This window comes from Homo sapiens, chromosome 1 (genome assembly GCF_000001405.40).
Source record: "Homo sapiens chromosome 1, GRCh38.p14 Primary Assembly".
Classification (NCBI taxonomy): Eukaryota; Metazoa; Chordata; class Mammalia; order Primates; family Hominidae; genus Homo; species Homo sapiens.
The window spans coordinates 17,531,350-17,553,523 of NC_000001.11; the positions used below are offsets into that span (position 1 = coordinate 17,531,350).

General features: G+C 51.2%; 1 protein-coding gene across 18 annotated transcripts in view, besides 3 other annotated features; it reads left to right on the forward strand.

Moving 5' to 3' along the window:
• Positions 1-22,174, forward strand: part of ARHGEF10L (Rho guanine nucleotide exchange factor 10 like) — a 184,441-nt gene that overhangs the window by 17,915 nt on the left and 144,352 nt on the right. For 8 of the 18 annotated variants that reach the window (NR_137287.2, NR_137288.2, XM_005245923.3 and 5 more), the window contains exon 1: positions 8,349-8,601. The exons of 5 other annotated variants lie outside the window; for them this stretch is intronic. The gene's annotated coding sequence lies outside the window, so the exon portion shown is untranslated. Of the gene's footprint in view, positions 1-7,954; positions 8,090-8,348; positions 8,606-22,174 lie in introns of those variants that run through there. 5 more of the 18 variants (XM_047424065.1, XM_047424112.1, NM_001438944.1 and 2 more) reach the window with 4 other exon arrangements.
• Positions 4,880-4,929: an enhancer, noted in NCBI's record as "active region_279". NCBI's record gives its function as "activates an Ori minimal core promoter by ATAC-STARR-seq in GM12878 lymphoblastoid cells {active_cell/tissue: GM12878}" and the evidence as "EXISTENCE:reporter gene assay evidence [ECO:0000049][PMID:35858748]".
• Positions 5,440-5,489: an enhancer, noted in NCBI's record as "active region_280". NCBI's record gives its function as "activates an Ori minimal core promoter by ATAC-STARR-seq in GM12878 lymphoblastoid cells {active_cell/tissue: GM12878}" and the evidence as "EXISTENCE:reporter gene assay evidence [ECO:0000049][PMID:35858748]".
• Positions 15,704-16,348: an enhancer, noted in NCBI's record as "H3K27ac-H3K4me1 hESC enhancer chr1:17873548-17874192 (GRCh37/hg19 assembly coordinates)". NCBI's record gives its function as "activates a minimal SCP1, AML or CMV promoter by ChIP-STARR-seq in primed H9 embryonic stem cells {active_cell/tissue: H9 hESC(primed)}" and the evidence as "EXISTENCE:reporter gene assay evidence [ECO:0000049][PMID:30033119]".

Sequence of the window (22,174 nt, forward strand, 5' to 3'; positions counted from 1 at the left end):
ACCATCCTGGTGAAGGCTTTCGGGTCTCAGAAGATGTCATATCTGGGAGCTTAACCCCTTGAGTTCTTGGGGGAAGACTTGGGTAAGCTTATCCGAAGGTCACATGGTCTGGGGGAAGGAGCATGAACTCTGGATTTAAATCCCAGCTCTTTCACTCTCCCACTGTGTGACCTTGGACAAGTCACTTAACCTCTCTGGGCCTATTTATTCATAAAGCAGGATAGAGCCACCTTCCCTGCAGGGTTGCCTGGAGGCTTAGCACACAGTGGGCCTCTGTAAACGGGAGAGATGGGTGTGATTCCATGCGGCCTCCACACAGCCTCCACAGAGGGCAAGGGAGTAGATGTTAATGAGCTCTGGGGCTGGTCCAAAAAGCCAGTCTATAAAACCCCTGCCTGCAGCTTCTGGTGTGTTGCTCATGGGAGTTTATGTGAAGGACACAGCCGGATAAGAGCCCATTGTTCTGAGTGGAGATGGTTTTATGACTCTTAGAAAGCGTCTTTCATCTGGGAGACCAGGGAGCTTATGGAGCCTCCCCGCCCTGGGCAGTGAAACTGTGAGATGATGAAGGTTTCTGGGGCTGGTGCCAGGCTGCAGCCATGGCCAGGCCCTCCTGCCACAGCCTAGGCGAGCCAGTGGGAGCTGAGCACCCCCCACCACCACCCACCAGCCAAGTGTCACTGAAGTCTTTCTCTAGGCCCAGGCCCAGGCCCTGCCCTCCTGAGAACCTCTTGTCCTGGCCCGCAGTCTCCAGCCAGGTCTGCTTGGCAAGGCTGGAGGCTCGCTGTGTCCCCTGGGCTCTCTCCCTGCTCCCTCTCCTCAGCAGCCACCGACACATCCCCTCTATCTTCATGGTAACTTCTAGAACAGGCCCTCGGCCCTGTCTGCTGTCAGCTGACCAGCAACTCTTATGCCTGGGAGCCTGGCCTGGTGCTCTGATCCCTGGGTTGGAGCAGTAATCTGATGCCAGGAAGCAAAGACCTTGTCTCCTTGTCCTTTCTGGCTCCTTGGCCAGGCCCCAAGCTGAGAAATCCAACCTCCCCTTGGCTCAGCAGACATCCCCAAGTGCTCTGCCTGTTATCCCTAGAGGAGGCTGCAGATACCCCTGAGGAGTAGGTGGCCCCCTGGGGCCTGTGGGGTTTGGCCTGCTGGGTAGAGGAGCTGTATGTGTTTGCAGCTGCCTCTGATACCCCAGCCCACATTTACCCTGTGCTAAGGCTTTGTCCTTTGTCCCTTCACCCTTGATCTTTTTTTTTTTTTTTTGAGATGGAGTCTTGCTCTGTTGCCCGGGCTGGAGTGAAGTGGCGTGATCTCGGCTCACTGCAACCTCCGTCATCCAGGTTCAAGCTATTCTCCTGCCTCAGCCTCCCGAGTAGCTGGGACTACAGGCACAGACCACCATGCCCAGCTAATTTTTGTGTTTTCAGTAGAGACGGGGTTTCCCTATATTGGCCAGGCTCGTCTTGAACTCCTGACCTCAGGTGATCTGCCTGCCTCGGCCTCCCAAAGTGTTGGGATTACAAGTGTGAGCTACTGCACCCACCACCCCCTCTTGACCTTTTCTGTTTTAGGAGATACAGGAAGGCTAAAGCACGGTGCTGGGTATACCTTGTGCCTTAACTGGTCCCTCTCTTTGCAAAGGACTCAGGAATGCCCCCTTCATCCTGCACCAAGACAGTGGCCAGGGACAGACAGTACCACCTGAATATTCATCTCTCCTCTCATCACAGGCTTCTTGGCTTTCAAGAAATAAAAATCCACTCAAGTGGCTCAAGTGAAGGGGGTGCTGAGTAAGAACAGGTCTTCTTGACGAACATTCAAGGCTAGGACAGAGTGTCTTTGTGCCTCAGTTTCCTCATTGGTAAAATGGGGATAAAAGTATCCACTTTATAGGGTTACTGTGAGGATTAAATGAGCTAATACATGTGAAGTGTTTAAACAGAACCTGGTGTTTAGAGAGTGCTATTAAGCATTTGCTATTATTATCTTATCATTATTTTTGTACAGATGGGGTCTTGCTATGTTGCCCAGGCTGGTCTTGAACTCTTGGCCTCAAGCAATCCTCCCACCTTGCCCTCCCAAAATGCTGAGATTATAAGCGTGAGCCACTGTGCCGGCTTGCTGTGGTGATTTTGACACTACATTCCCCAGGAGAATGGGCTATTCAGACTAGTCTCTCCTGATACTAAGTCCCGTAAAGGAGCAGCTCAGGGAAGTGAGGCGTCCTTTGACCTGATCCCCCAGGACACCTGTGGCTGTCTTTGACTTTAGCTTGTTTCCCCCCAGATGCAGGTCTTGGGTTATGAAGAACCTAGAAGGCTTGAGGTGTTGCTCCGTGCATCCCAGCCCCCCTCAAAATGCCTGTCCTATTGAACAGGGGCAGGAATGTTATGGAAGGAGGGTTTCATCTTGATGAGACCGACTCTATCATCCTTATTTGTAGCAAAACGTGACCTAGTCTCTCTTTGATACTAGCCTGTTCATGATTGGCTTGATGATGTAGTACATAACAAAGACTGGCTGCTGGCTGGGCACTCTCCATTCATACTGCCTATGCGAGGCCGGTATCCAGACTCGGGAAGTCCACATTCCCATCCACCCACTTTCTTCTTCTTCTTTTTTTTTTTCTTGAGACGGAGTCTTGCTATGTCTCTCAGGCTGGAGTGCAGTGGCGTGATCTTGGCTCACTGCAACCTCTGCCTTCTGGGTTTAAGAGATTCTCCTGCCTCAGCTTCCTGGGTAGCTGGGATTACAAGCAGCTGCCACCACACCTAGCTAATTTTTTTTTTTTGAGACGGAGTCTCACTTTGTCACCCAGGCTGGAGTGCAGTGGCGTGATTTCAGCTCACTGCAAGCTCCGCCTCCTGGGTTCACGCCATTCTCCTGCCTCAGCCTCCGAAGTAGCTGGGACTACAGGCGCCCGCCTCCACGCCCGGCTAATCTTTTGTATTTTTAGTAGAGACGGGGTTTCACCATGTTAGCCAGGATGGTCTCGAGCTCCTGACCTTGTGATCTGCCCCACCTCGGCCTCCCAAAGTTCTGGGATTACAGGTGTGAACCACCGTGCTTGGCTGCTAATTTTTGTATTTTTAGTAGAGACGGGGTTTTGCCATGTTGGCCAGGCTGGTCTCGAACTCCTGACCTCAAGTGATCCACCCACCTCGGCCTCCCAAAGTGCTGGGATTACAGGCATGAGTCATGGTGCCTGGCCAGCCACCATGCCTGGCCCACCCATTTTCTGATTTTTTTTTTTTTTTTGAGAAGGAGTCTTGCTCTGTTGCCCAGGCTGGAGTGCAGTGGCACAATCTCAGCTCACTGCAACCTCTGCCTCCTGGGTTCAAGTGATTCTCCTGCCTCAGCCTCCCTAGTAGCTGGGATTGCAGGCATGTGCCACCATGCCTGGCTAATTTTGTATTTTTAGTGGAGACAGGGTTTCACCATGTTGGCCAGGCTGGTCTCAAACTCCTGACCTCAGATGATCCATCTGCCTTGGCATCCTAAAGTGCTGAGATTACAGGTGTGAGCCACCATGCCGGGCCACTTTCTGTTTGATCTACTATGGCAGAGGCCCTCAAACTTTTTGGCCTCAGGAACTGGTTTCGGGGATGTGGAAGACAATTTTTCCATGGATGGGGTGGGGGGATGGTTTTGGGATGATTCAAACGCATTACATTTATTGTGCACTTTATTTCTATTATTATATTGTAATATATAATGAAATAATTATACAACTCACCATAATGTAGAATCAGTGGAAGCCCTGAGCTTGTTTTCCTGCAACCAGATGGTCCCATCTGGGGGTGATGGGAGACACTGACAGATCATCAGGCATTAGATTCTCATAAGGGGCGCGCAGTCTAGATCCCTCACATGCACAGTTCACAACAGGGCTTGTGGTCCTCTGAGAATCTAATGCCACCATTGCTGATCTGATAGGAAGCAGAGCTCAGGTGGTAATGTGAGTGATGGGCATGGCTATACATAGAGATGAAGCTTGCTTACCTGCCACTCCCCTCCTGCTGTGTGACCTGGTTCCTAACAGGCCACAGCCTGGTTCTGATCCATGGCCTGAGGGTTGGGGACCCCTGCACTATGGAGCTGACTGGTGGGAGCGGGGCCAGACTGGGAGGCAGCGGCGGGGGCCCTGGGTCCCCATCTTGGCTTTGCCACCAGATTGCTGAGCAATCTTGGACAAGTCACCTAACCTCTCTGACCAGGGAAATACCACCCCTGTATGCCCTCATTCTCTCTTTCCCAGGTCAGCAGCGGAGACAAGGAGGACAGACTCCTGAGTCCCATCCAGATGTAATGTATCATTGATGATTTTGCTTACACAATAAATCCTGCCCTCACCAGAGTGCTCAGTGAGTGGGTAATTCTGGTTAATTGAATGTTCTGGGACATGGAAATGTTCCCAGAAATCCTTTTTGTTCCTTTTGTGGCTATTGAAACCCATCCACTCATCTATTCAGCACATATTTGTCTCGTGTCTATGCTGCACCAGGTTCTGGAGCAGGTGCTGGGGATACCACCCGGAATGAGACAACAGAGTCCAGCCTCCGTGGACTCACAGTCCGGGGGGGAGACATGGGGCAAACATGCCACCACATGTGGTAGGTTGGGCACACTGACCAGGGAATGCAGGCTGCAGGTAGGGGCCTGGGGCCCAGTGTGGCCGTCCTTGGAAGGAGCTCCCTGAGAAGGTGCTGTTTATGTTGACAGCACTAAAAAGCAGTTAACCATAGTGTCTGGGGGATGGAGTAGTCAGGGGCATTCCAGCCGAGGGCAAAGGCTCAGAGAAACACCTGTGCATTCATTTGTGCTGTGGAGCTTAGAGTGTGCAGCTGGGGCAGGGCACAATGGCTCACACCTGTAATCCCGGCACTTTGGGAGGCCAGAGCAGGAGAATCACTTGAGCCCAGGAGTTCAAGACCAGCCTGGGCAACATGGTGAAACCCCATCTCTACAAAAAAATACAAAAATTGGCGGGGCATGATGGTGCACACCTGTAGTCTCAGTTAGGAGGCTGTGGTAGGGGGGTCACTTAAGCCTGGGAGGCGGAGGTTGCGGTGAGCTGAGATCACATCATTGCACACTGGCCTCAATGACAGAGCAAGACTCTATCACCAAAAAAGAAAAACAAGAATGTGCTTCTGGGGAAGTGAGAGTGAAGAGGCGGGTGCATGTCAAGAGGGCAAGAATACGTGAAGATGTGGCCTGCTGAGGGCTGGCCTGGACTGTGAGGGCTGCAGGTTTATTTATTTTCCAGCATATGTTTTGTGATGTCACTCTTTCTCGCCAGAGTGGAGAGTAGAGGGAAAATGAAATCAAAACACTATCACAGAGGAGGGGCCTTAAATCAGAGGAGTGACAGAGGGCTGCGAGTGACGTTGACAAGTGGAGAGCACAGCTGTGTCTAAAGGGCCACCACTCCTGGGGCCCTGCAGAGTGTGGCCCTGGGGGAATGTGGACCTGGCATTATCAGATCTTCCGATTTGTTAAGAGAAGCTAGAAATCTGGCTTTTAATTTTTTTTTTTCAGAGACAGAGTCATGCTGTTGCCTAGGCTGGGGTGCAGCGGTGGGATCATGGCTCACTGCAGCCTCAAACTCCTGGGCTCAAGTGATCCTCCCACCTCAGCCACCTGAGTAGCTGGGACTATAGGCATGCACTACCGCATCTGGCTAGATTTTTATTTTATTTTATTTTATTTTATTTTATTTTTGTAGAGACAGGGGTCTCCCTATGTTGCCCAGGCTGGTCTAAAATGCCTGGCCTCAAGCAATCCTCTTGCCTTGGCCTCCTAAAGTGCTGGGATTACAGGCATGAGCCACTGCTCCTGGCTGCAATCTGACTTTTTATGGGAAATCTCCCAATGATTAAATGATGGCAACTAACAACAACAAAACCACTGTGGGCAAAACAAAATGCTTCTGCAGACTCAATTTGTTTTATGAGCAGGTGGTTTGGAACCCTAGACCCAGAGGGTTATATTGATAAGGGTTCTAGGGTGTCCTTTAGAATCCATTACGATCCTCTAAAGAGTGTGCCCCTAACCTGTGCTGGGCTCTGAGGGCACAACGGGGGTCTGGGGCATGGCCCCTGCCCTCAAGGCTGTATCATAGCTGCCCTCAAGCTAGATGGGTCAAATCAGTTATGCACCCAGAGCCAACTTACAACAAAAGGACTAGGTGCTATAGAGCTCAGAGGAGGGAGAGGTCAGGGAATGGAGGAGGCCATGTGAAAAGGCCTCCTGGAGATTCTGGGCCTTGTGTTGGTTCTCAGACAGGAGGGTAAGACTTAGTACAACCAAAGAAGGTAAGGGGCATCCTGAGCTGGAGGCGTCAGACATTTCAGGATCAGATGGGAAATAAGACAATAAAGAAGGCCGGGCACGGTGATTCACACCTGTAATCCCAGCACTTTGGGAGGCCAAGATGGGATGATCTCTTGAGCCCAGGAGTTCAAGACCAGCCTGGACAACATAGTAAGACCACCATCTCTACAAAAAAAAAAAAAAAAAAAAGAAAGAAAAGAAAAAAAAAATGAGCCAGGCATGGCTACCTGGCAATATAGGCACTACAGGCACCACCATGCCCGCACCTGTAGTGCCAGCTACTTGCAGGCTGAGGCAGGAGGATTGCTTGAGCCTAGGAGTTTGAGGTTACGGTGAGCTGATTGTGCCAGCCTGAGCCACAGGGCAAGACCCAGTCTCTTAAAAAAAAACAAAGAAAGAAAAAAAACATAGCCAAGGAAGGGGTTGGAGTACACTGTGAAAGACCGCGATGCTGGTCTGGGATGTGTACTTGGCTCTGGCTATGACGGCAGGACTCAAAAGTCCATTTCTGGTCCAAAGCTTAATGCCATGAGCCTGAGGTCACTCAATGGACATCTGAAGTCTTCTTCCTGCTTTGCTAGCATCCCCAAACCTCTCCTGTCTGCTGTCCTGCCATCATTTATTCACAGCAGGGCAGGGGCCGTGCCTGTTGTGTTCACTGGTGTCTCCTGCGTGCCTAGAACGATGTCTGGAACAGAGCAAAAATGCTCAAAGAATATCTCCTGCCTACTTAAACTATGAGCCAGTGTTGCCCTAGCCTGGGGCTCAGGACAACTCTGTGGTGCTTATGTTCTTGTGTCGAGAGGGACAATAAACAAACCAACAAGTCGGTGAATAAGATGATTTCAGTGCGTGGCCTGTGTGGCTTGTCTCACTGCACTGTAGCCGTTTGTTTATTTGCGTCTTCTCCTAAGCCTATGAGCTCCGAGGGGGCGGGGCTGGGGTCTGTCTGGTTCTTTGTCTCACTGGTAGCCCCTGAGGCTGGTGCCTGACAAATAGGGAGTAGTTAAAAAAAAAAAAAAAAAAAAGTTTTTGCTGGCTGTGGGCTGTAAGGAACACAAGCTGAAAATGATTTCAACCTACGTGCACCTGTACCCTTTGGAGGCTGCAGAACTTATCATTATCAACCCAGGAGTAATTGCTGATAAGCCCGCGTGTGAATTTCCTTGCAAATAGAGGGGTAGCGGGGGAGTGTTTAACAACAACGCGGATAATCTTAATTAATGACCTGATAACTGTAATTAATTGCATCATATCCAGAGGCCCTCTTTGGAATTTCAGGAGGGAGTACCTAGTGTTTGGCAGCTTTGGAGCTGCAAAGGCAGGGGAATGCTAGGATCTCAGTCTCAGCACTTTGCTGCTCAGTGAGCTTTGCCAAGTTACTCTCAGTTCTGAGCCTCAGTTTTCTCCTAGGGAAAATGGGGCTACATCACTGGGGTGTTGCCGGTCTCAAAGCCGTCAATGCCTGAACCCGCCAGGGTTGTTCTTGGAGGTTTGGCTGCATGGCTGCAAGGTTCCCCATGTTGCCATGGCGGGGGTGGGGGGCAATACGGGGCCGCCAAGACTGGTTGAGGGGCAGGTCATAAGTCTAGGGTTTCCCCTGGGGCCGGTCCAGGATTCTCACCCTTTTGGGGGAACCTCAGGGCAAAATGTTGAAGTGGGGGAGGAGAAGCCAGCACCCTGCGCGCCTGCGGGGTCTCCCCGCGGAGAACCGGGGAAGGAGAACCGGGAGGCGGGAAGTGGGGACCCCGGGGTAGGTGAAGGAGCGAGGAGGTCGCCGTGTGGCCGGGGCCGGGCCCCATCCCCGCGGGCCTCAGTTTCCCCCCTGTACTGTGGGGGGCCGGTGGGCTGCCGGGACCGCTGGGGGCTCGCAGCGGGTCGGGGGAGGCCACGTCTCCCTCGCGGCGCGCTGGGAGCAGGGAGGGGGCGCGGCGGCCGCTGCCCCGGCCACCAGGGGTTAAGCGGTGACCTCAGCCGCGGCGCCCCGGGACCGGGCGGGCGGGGGCGGCGCCGCGTCGCGCACGGCGGCGGCGGCGGGACCAGGCCTCGGAGCGCGGCGGGCGCGGGCGCAGTCCCGGCGGGCCCGGACCTCGCGGGCGGGCGGGCGGCGCGGCCATTGGCTCGGGTGGCGGCGGCTGCGGCGGTGGGGGCGCCGTCCCGGCCATGGGCGCCCGCGGCGGCCTGCGGAGCTGGAGGCGCGGCGCCGGCCGCCAGGCGCCTTTGTGAGCGGCGCGGACGACAAAGGCGCGGGCCCGGGCAGCCGAGGTGGGTGAGTGAGCGCGGGGGCCCTGCCTCCGCGGGATCCTCGCGTGTGCCGGAGTCTGCGAGTGCGCGGGAGGCGCTCCAGGCGCCAGGGTCCTCCGGGTGTCCTGGGCGTGTCGCCGTGGGCGGGCGGGGGCCGTGTCCGCCGCTGTGTCCCTGTGTCTGGGTGTGAGAGCCCCGAGCCCGCGTCTCCCCTCTGTGTGGGTCTCTCCTTGTGTCACTGGAGTTCTGGTGTTACTAGGGCGAGTGGCCTTTGTGCTTCAGCTTGTGTGTGTGTGTGGCCTCCAGCCGGCTGGAGTCAGGACAGTTTGGGAACCCCCACCCCCACCCTGTGCCTCACTTTCCCCTGTGGTCCACTTCTTCCTGCGCTGACCTTGGGGGTCCCTGGGATCGGGTGAAGTCAGGGAGTGCCCCTGTCGCCTCTGTGGTGAGTCAGCCTCTCCCACCCTGGACCCCCGCCCAGAGGCGGAACGGGACGGCCTCCTGCAGGAGGAGACTGTGGGAGGAGAGGATGCCGGGTCAGCCGGAGGCCGTGGCTGCGGAGCCGCCAGTCCCGGATCCTCCCTGGAACAGGGATATATGTCAGGGAGGGCCCTAGATGAAGACCAGCCCCCCTGGAGTCGCTGGGATGGCCTCCGAGAGGGAGAGCAGGCCTGACTGTAGGGGGCATGGGGACAATTCTTCCTCCCTCTGCCAAAGCGGGGCCCTGGGGCGGGGGTCTCGAATCTTCCTTTGGCCCTGAAAGCCAGGAGGCCCTGCGTTGCATCAGTGCCAAGTAGAGAGGTGGTGGCTGGTGGGCTGCACTTTCCCACTGGCTTTGGAGCTCAGTTTCTGCCCCAGAGTCCTTGGCCTCCCTTAAGGATGCTACTGGGAAGCCACGCCCCACCTGCCGGGAGCCCCATCTGCTCCTCCTCGGGTTCTGGGGAGAGAGGGCAGGTTGTGCGGGCTCATTAGAATGCATAGCTCTTCCCAGCATCCGCCCAGCACTGTGCCCCCCACGGTGTTCAGGCCCTGGACACACAGACTAGAAAGCAGGTCAGCCTCCGGAAATCTCCAAGCTCCCTGTGACTGTGGGCTGGGGACTGCCCTTCCCCTTCATCGGGCCCTCAGGCTGAAGCTCAGAACCCTCCTGTAAGGAAGGCTTCCTGGGGTGCCCGAATCTGATGCTCGCTCTGTCCCCAGGCGCTTGCCTTCCTGAGGCCCCCTGTCCCTTCCCCTTCCACCAAAGAGCCTCTGTGGGCTGTTCTCTCTATCCAGGAAGTGGGTCCCATCCTTCACCTCTTTCATTTCTCACTCGGGAGCTACTTCCTCTCCAGTGAGCCAGGGTAGCCACAGTGCTCTGAGGGTTCCTGCCCCAGTTGTGGGGGCGGGGGGCTTTTTTCAGTCTTCCAGTGGAACAGGGGCCATGTCTGTCCTTGATCACAGCTCAGAACAGTGCCTGGTGCATAGTGGGTGCTCTACACATAGTTGCTGAATAAATGAATGTCCAATAACTAATGGTTCCCAAATTCTGTTTCAAGTTTTAACTCTGGAGTAGTCTGGGGAGGGGCGAAAGCTGGTGTACTGCTCTGGGGCCCAGGTACCAGGTTAGTATAAGAGGAGGTTGGGTGTGGTGGCTCACCCTTGTAATCCCAGCACTTTGGGAGGCCAAGTTGGGTGGATCACTTGAGGTCAGGAGTTCGGGATCAGCTTGGCCAACATGGTGAAACCCTGTCTTTACTAAAAATGCAAAAATTATGGCCAGGCTCAGTAGCTCATGTCTGTAATCCCAGCACTTTGGGAGGCTGAGGTGGGCGGATTACCTGAGGTCAGGAGTTCAGGACTAGCCTGGCCAACATGGTGAAACCCCATCTCTACTAAAAATATAAAATTAGCTGGGCATAGTGGCACATGCCTGTAGTCCCAGCTACTCGGGAGGCTGAAGCAGGAGAATCGCTTGAACCCGGGAAGTGCAGGTTGCAGTGAGCCAAGATCGCACCATTGCACTCCAGCTTGGGTGACAAGAGTGAAACTCCATTTCAAAACAAAAACGAAAACAGAAATTAGCTGGGTGTGGTGGTGCACGTCTGTAATCCCAGCTATTTGGGAGGCTGAGGTGGGAGGGTCGCTTGAACCCGGGAGGCGGAGGTTACAGTGAACCAAGATTGTGCCACTGCACTCCAGCCTGGGTAACAGAATGAGATTCTATCTCAAAAGAAAAAAAGAAAAGAAAAGAAGAAGATTGAGCATGGTGGCTCATGCTTGTAATCCCAGCACTTTAGGAGCCTCAGGTGGGAGGATCACTTGAGCGCAGGTGTTCGGGACCAGCCTGGGCAACACAAGAGAACATGTCTCTACAAAAAATTTTAAAAATTAGTTGGATGTGCTGGTGCACGCCTGTAGTCCCAGCTACTCAGGAGGCTGAGATGGGAGGATCACTTGAGCCTGGAAGTTCGAGGCTGCAGTGAGCTGTGATTGTGCCACCGTACTACAGCTTAAGTGACAGAGGGAGACCCTGTCTTAATTATATATATGAGAAAAGTGTACTGTTACTTGGGGAAATAGTATATTAATTAACAGACATTTATAGTATATGCTGAGTGCCAGGTGTTGGGCTAGATGCTTTAAGCATGTACCTCTTACACACTGAGAAGGAACAGAGTGGAAAGAATACATGTAATCTTCTATGATTAATTTTGAAAAGATAAAGTAAATGATATATATGCCATGATAAGATAATAACGTGGATTTATATTGTACTTTCATATCTGCTATCTCTTTGTTTTGACAACACCCTAGTAGTTAGGCAGGGAGATGGGTTCATATCCATCTTACAGATGAGGAAGCTGAGCATACAGCATTTAAGTGACTGTCGAAGGTCACTGCTGAAGCGAGTCAGCGAAGGCGCCAGCACTCAGCCTGGGACTCCCTGGCCACTCAGTCCTTGCTTTCTTCTGCACAACTGTCTCCAGTGCCTTTTGTATTCCTGTCACCCGGCTAGACAAGGGTGAATGGGCCACTGTTCTTGCCCTCAAGGGGTCTAAAGTCCAGGAGAGAATCAGGCTCTTTAACAACTGAGTGTGCCAGAGTTGTTCCGCCCCATGGTGCCACCTTGGGCCCAGCTCAGCTCCTTCCTTGCAGTGTCCCAGAGAGTTCTTCTTCTCTCTACCTCAGTGGAGGGCATCAGAGCCATTTTCATTCAGGACCCTGGTCTGATGACATTCCCAGGAGTGACTGGTCCTTACAGAGCCTCTGCCGGGTCCTGGGCAGTGGTGAGTTGGGAGCCAGCTCACACCTACACATAAGAGCTGATTGCTAAATTTTAGGAATTTTATGAGCCGGTTGTTAAACACAACCATTATAAAAAATTCTGAGGCCAGGAGCGATGGCTCATGCGTGTAATCCCAGCACTTTGGGAGGCCAAGGCAGGCAGATCCCCTGAGGTCGGGAGTTCGAGACTAGCCTGGCCAACATGGTGAAACCCCATCTCTACTAAAAATACAAAAATTAGCTGGGTGTGGTGGCCCATGCCTGTAATCCCAGCTACTCGGGAGTCTGAGGCAGGAGAATTGCTGGAACCCAGGAGGCGGAGGTTGCAGTGAGCCGAGGTTGTGCCATTGTACTCCAGCCTGGGGGACAAGAGTAAAACTCCGTCTCAAAAAAAAAAATTTTTTTTGAGTGTATACATTCATCATTAAGTAAATTATATATATATAGTTTGTTTGTTTGTTTGTTTTTTGAGATGGAGTCTCACTCTTTTGCCCAGGCTGGAGTGAAATGGTACAATCTTAGCTCACTGCAACCACCGCCCCCTGGTTTCAAGTGATTCTCCTGCCTCAGCCCCCTCAGTAGCTGGAATTACAGGTGCCTGCCACCACGCCCAGCTAATTTTTGTATTTTTAGTAGAGACGGGGTTTTACCATGTTGGCCAGGCTGGTCTCAAACTCCTGACCTCAGGTGATCCACCTGCCTCAGCCTCCCAAAGTGCTGGGATTACAGGCATGAGCCACCGCGCCTGGCTGCTATTATATATTTTTGAGATGGAGTTTCACTCTTGTTGCTCAGGCTGGAATGCAGTGGCGTGATCTCTGCTCACTGCAACCTCCACCTCCTGGGTTCAAGTGATTCTCCTGCCTCAGCCTCTGGGATTACAGTAGCTGGGATTACAGGTGCCTGCCACCACACCTGGCTAATTTTTTGTATTTTAGTAGAGATGGGGTTTCACTATGTTGGCCAGGCTGGTCTTGAACTGCTGACCTCAGGTGGTCCACCTGCCTCAGCCTCTCAAAGTGCTGGAATTACAATTATGAGCCACTGTGACTGGCCATAAATTTTATACATATATATGTGTGTATATATATATATAATAATTTTTTTTTTGAGATGGAGTTTTGGCTCTTGTTGCTCAGGCTGGAGTGCAATGGCATGATCTCGGCTCACTACAACCTCTGCCTCCCACGCACGTTCAAGCGATTCTCATGCCTCAGCCTCCCGAGTAGCTGGGACTACAGGCGTGCACCACTACTCCCGGCTAATTTTTGTATTTTTAGTAGAGACGGGGTTTCACCATGTGGGCCAGGCTGGTCTCAAACTCCTGACCTCAGGTGATCTGCCCACCTCAGCCTCCCAAAGTGCTGGGATTACAGGCGTGAGCCACCATGCCCAGCCTGTAAATTATATTTTATAAAGTAATAAATACTCAATTTTTTTCCTAATTATTTTATTCTATTATTACCTGTGCTTTTGTGGTTATTTGCTGCTTTGTGTGTGTGTGCGTTGGGGAGTGTATTAGTTCTTTTTCATACTGCTATTTTCATACTGCTATGAAGAAATACCTGAGACTAGGTAATTTGTAAAGAAAAAGAGATTTAATGGACTCACAGTTCCACATGGCTGGGGAGGTCTCACAATCATGGTAGAAGGCGAAGGAGGAGCAAAGGCACATTTTACATGGTGGCAGGCGAGAGAGCCTGTGTAAGGGAACTGTCCTTTATAAAACCTTCAGGTCTTGGGAGACTTATTCACTATCATGAGAACAGCATGGGGAAAACCTGCCCCTGTGATTCAATTACCTCCCACCACGTCCCTCCCATGACATGCAGGGATTATGGGAGCTACAATTCAAGATGAGATTTGGGTGGGGACGCAGCCAAACCATATCAAGGGGTGTGAGTGTGGGTGTGGGTGTGTGTGTAATGTACGTAGTGGTGTGCTACTGCATATCTCAACTCCATTCAGTGATGTCACATTGGCAGCTTGAAATTGGCCAGAGTGAGAGTATTTATATCACAGAAATTGGCAAACACTGCAAATCAGAATCTTTTCCCCTGAAGAGCCTGTTTACCAGCACACCACTGGGAATCCAGCAATGAGCAACTCAGTCCCTCCCTTTGAACTTACATTTTGGTGTGATGGCGCTCCAGGACTGATCTTAGTGTCCTCATTGCTGAGGGGCAGCTGCTGGGCAGGGCCTGCTTTGGTGATAGAGGTTGTAAATTGCCCTCAAATCACAGGAGCTCTCCATTCCAGCAAGTGAGTTGTTACCATGCACCAGGAAGAGAGGAAATGGGACAAGGAGGAAATTCAGTTAATTGAGAGCTGACTTTGCCATTGAGTAACCCTATTCAGGATGACTCAGGCATCTGGGAGGAAAAGCAGCAGTGGTGTCTGAGGACAGACCGTGGACAAATTAAGTAGCTTGGGGCTTGTGGAGTTGTGATGTCCAGGACATGGGTGGCTAGAGCTGACATAGGCAACAGTGGGCATGACCTGTCCATATGGATTCAGGACCTGCATGAGAGAGTAGAGGCAGACGGTTGCTCTTGTACATCCTGTGATCTCTGGTTGGAAGATGGACATGTGCACATGTTACATACAGTGGAGGGATGTGCGGAGTGTAGCAGGGGAATGGGGTAGGGAGAGGGGAACAATTCATGCCTCTGAACCTTTGCACATGCTGCTCCTTCTACCCAGGGGAGTTAATGTGTGTTTTCTCCACCCAGAAGGAATGGCATGTGCAAAGGCTCAGAGGCATGAATTATTGAGAGTTCAGTCTGGCTCTGGTGTCAGGTGAATCAAAAGTCTGCAGGGCTTGAAACAGAGTAGGGGAAGCATTGAACCTTCCTCAAGTCAGGAGGCACAGCATCATCTGGGTGCCAGCAAAGGAAATCTGACAAACCTCACCTGTCAGGGGCCTTGTGCTGTGTGGATCACCCTGCTTCCCTAAAAATCTTTGAGGTTTCTTGGTAGTTTCCTGCTGTCCCTGAAGCTTGCTGGTCTTCCAGCCCCTGCATCTGTGGCTGGTGGATTCTCAAAAAAAATCCATGTTAATATCAAGCACAAAACTTAATTGGGAAGAGGGGTCTCCTGTTCTCCCCCCATTGCTAATTGATACCAGAAAAGCTGCTTCTGTCCTTCATTTAGGCAGATAATTGAGAACTTGTTTGCTTAAAGGCAACTGATTTTGACTTTATGCCTATAGGTGCCAGATATTTTTCATGCATCAATTCATTTAATTTCCATGCCGATCCTGCAAGTACGTCCTATTTTCCGATCTTATCGATGAGGAAATTGAGTCTCAGAGACTTATCCAAGGGCACTGTGTTTGTAAGTGGCAGGATTTGAACCCGGCAGGCCCTGAGATCTTTCTGCAGTCCCGTGCTCCCCTCCTTTATGCGGTTTTCCTTTTCCCTTTGAGGAGGGGAGGGAGAGATTCATCACATGCCTGGAATCTCAGCACACTTTGCCTTTCTTAGTTCGGAGTTAATGTATGTTTTTTTAATTCAGTGTTGGCAAGGCCCAGTCTGGTCATAGCTGGGTTTGTTACCTTGTGGCTCAGGGGCAAGGATGAGAATAGAATTCTGGTACCCACACGGGCTCCCTAGGCCTGGTGTCAGGAAAGAGCTAATACTAATGGCTCATAATTGCAGAGTGGCAGGCACCTTGGTAGTGCATGGCTCGTGGGAGCTTTCTCAGTTCTCAGCTACTCCAAGAGGTGGGGTGCATCATTATCTCTGTTTTGCCTCCATTGAACTTGCCCAGGGTTGAGCAACCAAGAGTTAGAAGCACCACATTCTGCTCGCCCCGGAGTCCTGCCTCTCCACTCTTGTGTCTTTCCTTGAGCAGCGCCAACCCTCCCAGGGCCTGGCCCGGCTGTGCCTTTGACAGCCCCTAGCAGCAGTGCCCATATGCTATGGAAAATGGGGAAGGATAATTGACCACTTGGCCACAGGCCCAGGGTCTGCCCACCTCTTGGTTAGAGCCAGCACTGAGCTCCCTGCCATGGGGTTCATCTTCCCACTGGCCTGTTGGTTGAGAGGATGGTCTCAGACCAGGCCCCAACACCACCTTCTTGCAGATACATCCCCAGTCCAGGGCAGTGCAGGTGGTTTGTGATGGTGCCAGCCCATGTTGGCATGTTGGGCCCAAGATGAGGTGGCATTTCTGAGTTTTGGAACCCCTCTTTCTCCTTGAGAGCCTGGCCCCAGAGTGCCCTCCTCTCTGTAAAAGTCCTGGTTCTAGTCGCTGGCTGATTGGTATGCATCCCAGAATCCCGGCCATTAGCATACAAGGCGGGAGCCAGCTCTCATTACTCCCCTCTCTTCATTGTTTGAAGTGGGCAGACTTGGAGTGAGCTTTGGAAATGTGGGCTTTTTATTCAATTTCCCTAGAAAAACAATGGTTAAATTAAGTAGGAAAATAACAGTCTCCCGAAATTGAAGAAAAATATTCCTGAACCTAGACATTACCCACAACCTTTGAATTTCTTTTAAAACAGGCATTTGTTTTACTTTAAGTTATACATGTATCGCATGACCACTGAAGAAAACACAGAGAAAATACAGAGAGAAGAAAATGGAAATCATTTTGCCACCTGAAGACAGCCTCTCTCAATATTGTGGTGCATATCATTCATGTATTCAGTGATTCATTTACTCATTTGGCAAGTATCTATTTAGGGCCCACAAAGGGAGAGGCTGTGTTGGGTTCTGGGAGTAGACGCTGGGAGTAGAGGGGTACCCTGCTCCCTGCTGGGGCTCTTTCTATGTTGGGCCTTGGGCAACTCACTTGACCCTTCTCTTATCTGTTTTCTCATCTGTGGAATAGGGATAACACTAGTAGCTGTGTCATAAGGCATGGAGATTTGACAAGAAAGGGCAGGTAGGATGCTCATGATATTGCGTGGCCCAGGTCAAAGCTTAGTAATGTTGGCTTTTGTCATGTAGGGGAGGAATATCTTTTCTTCTACCCTGTTAGGTTCTGTGATAGAGCCTATGAATTAAACTGACAAAAGACAGATTAATAGGAGAAAAGGCATATAGATTTTATTTAATGTTACTATATATATGTATTTTTTTACTGTAAGGGGTCTCCATAGAAAAGAAATGAAAATCCAAAGAGGCAGTTAGACCCAGGAGCTTACGTAACATTTTAACAAAGGGCGATAAATTGTGGAGAAGTGAGGAGACAAAAGAAAAGTATTGGACTCTTAGGGGTCAGTAAATTTCAGGAAAGTGACTAGGAAATGTATGGTAGATAAGGGTGGTTTAGTAAGGTTTGTTATGCAGATAAAGTAAGGTAGAGGGGTACACCTTTGCAAATGGAAATTTATGTCACCTTTACAAAGGGAAATGTGTGCCCTGCTTTTAGGCAGAAAAGGGGAGGCAAAGAGCTCTTCCTGTATTGGCTGCTGCTCAAGTACCTTGAGCTCAAAATAATTCTTTTTTTTTTTTTTTTTTTTTTTTTGAGACAGCATCTTGCTCTGTTGCCCAGGCTGGAGTGCAATGGTCTTGGCTCACTGCATCCTCTGCCTCCTGGGTTCAAGCAATTCTCCAGCCTCAGCCTCCTGAGTAGATGGGATTACAGGTGCGCACCACCACACTCAGCTAATTTTTGTATTTTTAGTAGAGACAGGGTTTCACCATGTTGGCCAGGCTGGTCTTGAACTCCTGACCTCAAATGATTCTCCTGCCTCAGCCTCCCAAAGTGCTGGGACTATAGGTGTGAACCACCACTTCTGGCCCTGGGATGGCATATTCTGATCCTTTTCAGTTACAACAGTGAGTAAGCTGACATTAACCTTGCCCTGGTGGTTTTGTTTTTGTTTTTGTTTTTGAGATGGAGTGTTGCTCTGTCACCCCGGCTGGAGTGTGATGGCATGATCTTGGCTCACTGCATCCTCTGCATCCTGGGTTCGAGCGATTCTCCAGCCTCAGCCTCCTGAGTAGATGGGATTACAGGCGCCTGCCACTATACCTGGCTAAGTTTTGTATTTTTAGTAGAGATGGGGTTTCACTATGTTGGCCAGGCTGGTCTCGAACTCCTGACCTCAAGTGATTCTCCCACCTCAGCCTCCCAAAGTGCTGGGATTACAGGTGTGAGCCACGGTGCCCAGCCTCGTGAGTCTTATATGATGGTGGAGGAGACAAAAATCAAACACATCAAATTTATAAAGTAACCACATGTTATGCATTAAGTCCTGTGAAGGAAACAGACTGGTGGATGGTGATAACTGGGGATGAGGGGTAGAGAGGGTGTATGTGGGGGTGGGGGTACAGGATTCGTTAGCTGCAGGTGGTCAGGGAGGCCTCTCTGAAGAGAGACATTTAAGCCAGACCTGAATGACAAGCAGGAGCTCCCCCTGCAAGGATCTGAGGGAAAAGTATTCCGGGTAGGAGCTACAGCAAATGCAAAAGCCCTGAGGCCAGATGAACTTGGCCTGTTTAGGAGGGTGTGGAAGAGGCCATGTTAGTTAGGACTGTTACTCTAGGTGCAAAAGGAAACCATCGGAGGTTTGTTTTCCACTTCCCATAAATACCTTTACTAATGAAATATAGTTCCAAGATTCCAGCTAGTAAAAACTCTGTTAAGAAATTCACCTTTTTCCAATAATTTATTCAAAAATAATTTACCAAGTGCCTATGATGTGGAAGCACTTGACTCAGTGCTGTGGGGTGATGGATGGGTACAAAGATATGGTGAAGTTTTACGCTCCAATAACCCATGGTCCAGCAAACAAGACTACGAACATTTGCAGGGTCAAGGGCAGGGAGGGACTGATTTACCTTTGCAAAAGATCCCATGTCTGCTGGGAGGAGAACTGGCTGTAGAGAGCCAGGGTGGAGGGGTGGAGCTGGGAACCAGAGGAAAGGCAAGGAAAGGTTCCCATTTGGCAGTGGAATAGGAGAAAAGTCTGGGGTTTGGGTTATATATCAGCTGGAATCAACTGGAATTTCTGGTGGATTGTACACAGGGGTGAGGGAAAGAGAAGAACTGAGCATGACTTCTAGATTCTTCTTTTGAGTCTCTGAGTGAGTGGTGGTGTCATGAAAGGAGACGGTTAAGAGGGAGTGAGGAGCATGGCTTTTGGAGAAACCAAGGGTTAGGTTTGGGGCAGGTTCACATTGAAAGGCTGGTTAGAAGTCCAAGGGGGTAGGCCGGGCACAGTGGCTCACGCCTGTAATCCCAGCACTTTGGGAGGCCAAGGCGGGAGGATCACTTGAGGTTGGGAGTTTGAGACCAGCCTGGGCAACAAGGTGAAACCCCATCTCTACTGAAAATACAAAAATTAGCCAGGTGTGGTGGCGGGCGCCTGTAATCCCAGCTACTCAGGGGCTGAGGCAGGAGAATTGCTCGAACCCAGGAGGGTGGAGGTTGCAGTGAGCTGAGACTGTGCCATTGCAGTATAGTGTGGGCAACGAGAGTGAAACTCCATCTCAAAAACGAAAAAAAAAAAGCCAAAAAACCCCAAAGAAGTCCAAGGGGGTAGTGAGGGCCTCTGGGCTGGAGATGCAAACTTGGGCATCCTTAACATATAAAGGGGACAGGTGTGACCACCCAGAGAGACAATTCAGAGGAGAGATCCCTCCACAGGGAGGTGAGCTCTGGGAGCTCTTATATTTATAGTCTGGTGGAGGAGGAGGAGCCAGGGCAGGCAGCCTGGGAGCTAGGGGAAGATGGGTGCAAGGAACTTACCTTTAGTGCCAGGTGCTGAACTAAACACCTGGGGAGGATCGGCCCCTGGTCCTCACGATAAGTCTGTGAGGTGCAGGTGCTATTAAGCGTCTCACCTTATCGAAGCGGAAAGAGGCCCGGAGGTGACCCAGTGCACCTGCCAGCAGGTGCACGACTGTGTAGGGAGTGAGGATTCACACCAAGGGGGGCAGTCCACCTCGTTTGCCCACGGCATTCCCGTGTTGCAGAGGAGGATTCCAAAGCTTGTGGTTTTGTTCATTTGTTTTCATTTGTCTGTCCTTGCATTCCTCTCCTCCCAACACATATTTACTAAGCACCTACTGAATGCTGTGCACTGGGCAAGGAACTGGAGATTCCAAGATGAGTAAGGTGTGGCGCCCCTTAATCTGGTGAGGGAGGTGGATGGGCAACAGCTGAAGGGTGGGCGGTGCCTGATGCAGGTGGAGGGACTCCGAGGAGGCTTCCCAGGGGAGTGTCCAAGCCAAGCAGTGGAAAAGGCAGAGTTAGGTCAGGAAGCAGGAGGCATCCAGGCATGTGCCAAGGCTCAGGGGAGGGAATAGCAGGGCCATGTCAGGGAGGGTGCAGGAGGGTGCTGCTCAGGAGCTCTGTCCATTGTACTAGGGGCTTGTACTTTATCTTGTGGGCCCTGCGAGCCAGTCAACTGTTTCAAGCTAGGGGATGACGGGATTAGAACTTTTTGTTTGGGGTAGAGATTGGGCTGCAAGGGACAGAAGAGTTACCAGGGAGAGCTTTCAAGGCTGTTAAAAGGCTCTCGATTCCTAGGTCATTCTCTGAACCCTGCTGCTTCCTTACTCCTTCCCAAATTCTGCTCATTTTTCTCTTCCAAAAAGATTTCCGAGTCAGAGAGGTTAAGCAACTTGCCTGAGGTCTCCCAGCGTGCCAGGTCATCCAGGCTGGGACTGGTCTTCTAACTAAAACAACCACAGTCCCAGGGGTGGAAGCGGATGGTGAGTAACCCCAGGGAGCGGCTCACTGGAGGCTTGAGTTGAAGGTCACCGTCCACAGTCCCCGTGTGGCTTTAAACATTGCCTTTTTGCAGTCTCAGAGAACAGTTGGTGCTTCTGGGCAGGAGGAGCTGGGCTGCTGCTGGGAGCCAGGGCTGGGGCTTTCCCAGAGCTGCACGGGTTATTTAAGCAGTTTCCTGGGCATCTGCTTCCTCCCCAATGAGTGATGGGAAAACTCCATGGGGCTGGTGCAGGATTTGATTAACAGGTCACATGAGGCCAGTGAGGGAGGCAGTCCCTGCTGGGAAGGGCAGATGCCAGGCAGAGGGCGAGGGGAGGGGGAGATGGGGAGCACTTCCCAGAGCCCTGTGCTATGAGCTCTGTCACTTTGGGCAGGTGTCTCACCTCTCTGCAGTCTTGGTTCCCTCGCCTGTAGAGATAATATGAAATGTGACCAATAGGACTGAAGTAATAACCAGTGTCCACTGTAGGCCTGAAGTGTGCCAGGTACCACGCATGATCTTGTTTCAATCTATCTTTTTTTTTTCTTTTGAGATAGAATCTCACTGTGTCACCCGGCTGCAGTGCAGTGGCATGTTCTTGGCTCACTGCAACCTCTGCTTCCCGGGTTCAAGTGATTCTCCTGCCTCAGCCTCCCAAGTAGTTGGGACTACAGGTGCATGCTACCACAGCTGGCTAATTTTCGTTTTTTTTTTTTTTTTTTTTTTTTTTTTTTTTAGTAGATACAGGGTTTCACCATATCAGCCAGGCTGGTCTCAAACTCCTGACCTCCAGTAATCTGCTCCCCTCAGCCTCCCAAAGTGCTGGGGTTACAGGCGTGAGCCACCGTGTCCAGCCTCTTGTTTCAATCCCTTGTCATCTTGTGAGCTATGGATGGTCATTATCTTCATTTTATAGATGACACAGCTAAGGAACAGAAAGGGTAGATATTTTGTCCCAGGTCACACAGCTAGTAAATGGCAGAATTTGAACCTGACCCTCTAACTCTGGAGCCCTCCCCTGAAATCCCTGTGGTCCCCCTTCAAACTTTGTTCAGCTGAGCATGAGTCCCTTCCTTGGCAAATCACTTGATAGGATCCTGTGGGGCACTAGCATTCTGCCCACTTGACTTTGGGACACCCCAGTCCCTACAACCCCTTAAGTTTTATCACGAAGACTTGGAGCTCCAGTGGGCCTCAGCCCCTGGCTCATCATCTTTCAGCCAAGTGGGGCAGACCCGGGACCAGAACCCCAGCATCCCAGACTCCTGGCCTTCTGCTCCTTTCACTCCTCCAGGGCCTCAGAGGGGGACTGGACTGGGAGCCAGTTGCCTGGGTTCTAATCCCACTTCTTCCTTGGACCAGCCAGAAGAGCTTGGGCAACATTTCACTTTGCCCCCTGCCTTTACCCTAAGCCTCAGTTTCCTCTTCTGTGAGATGGGTAGATTGAGAATCTAGAATCTCTACCAATTCTAATAATTCATAAGTGTAAGATTTCAGGTTTCTATCTAGGAATCTGTAAGAGTCAAACATTTGCCACCTTTTTCTACTTCCTGTCCTCTATTGCCTGTGGGACTCGAGGAGACTGAGATGAGGAAACAATTCAGTGAACCCTCTATAGTTTGACACACTGTAGTTTGAGGGTGGTGGCTCATGCCT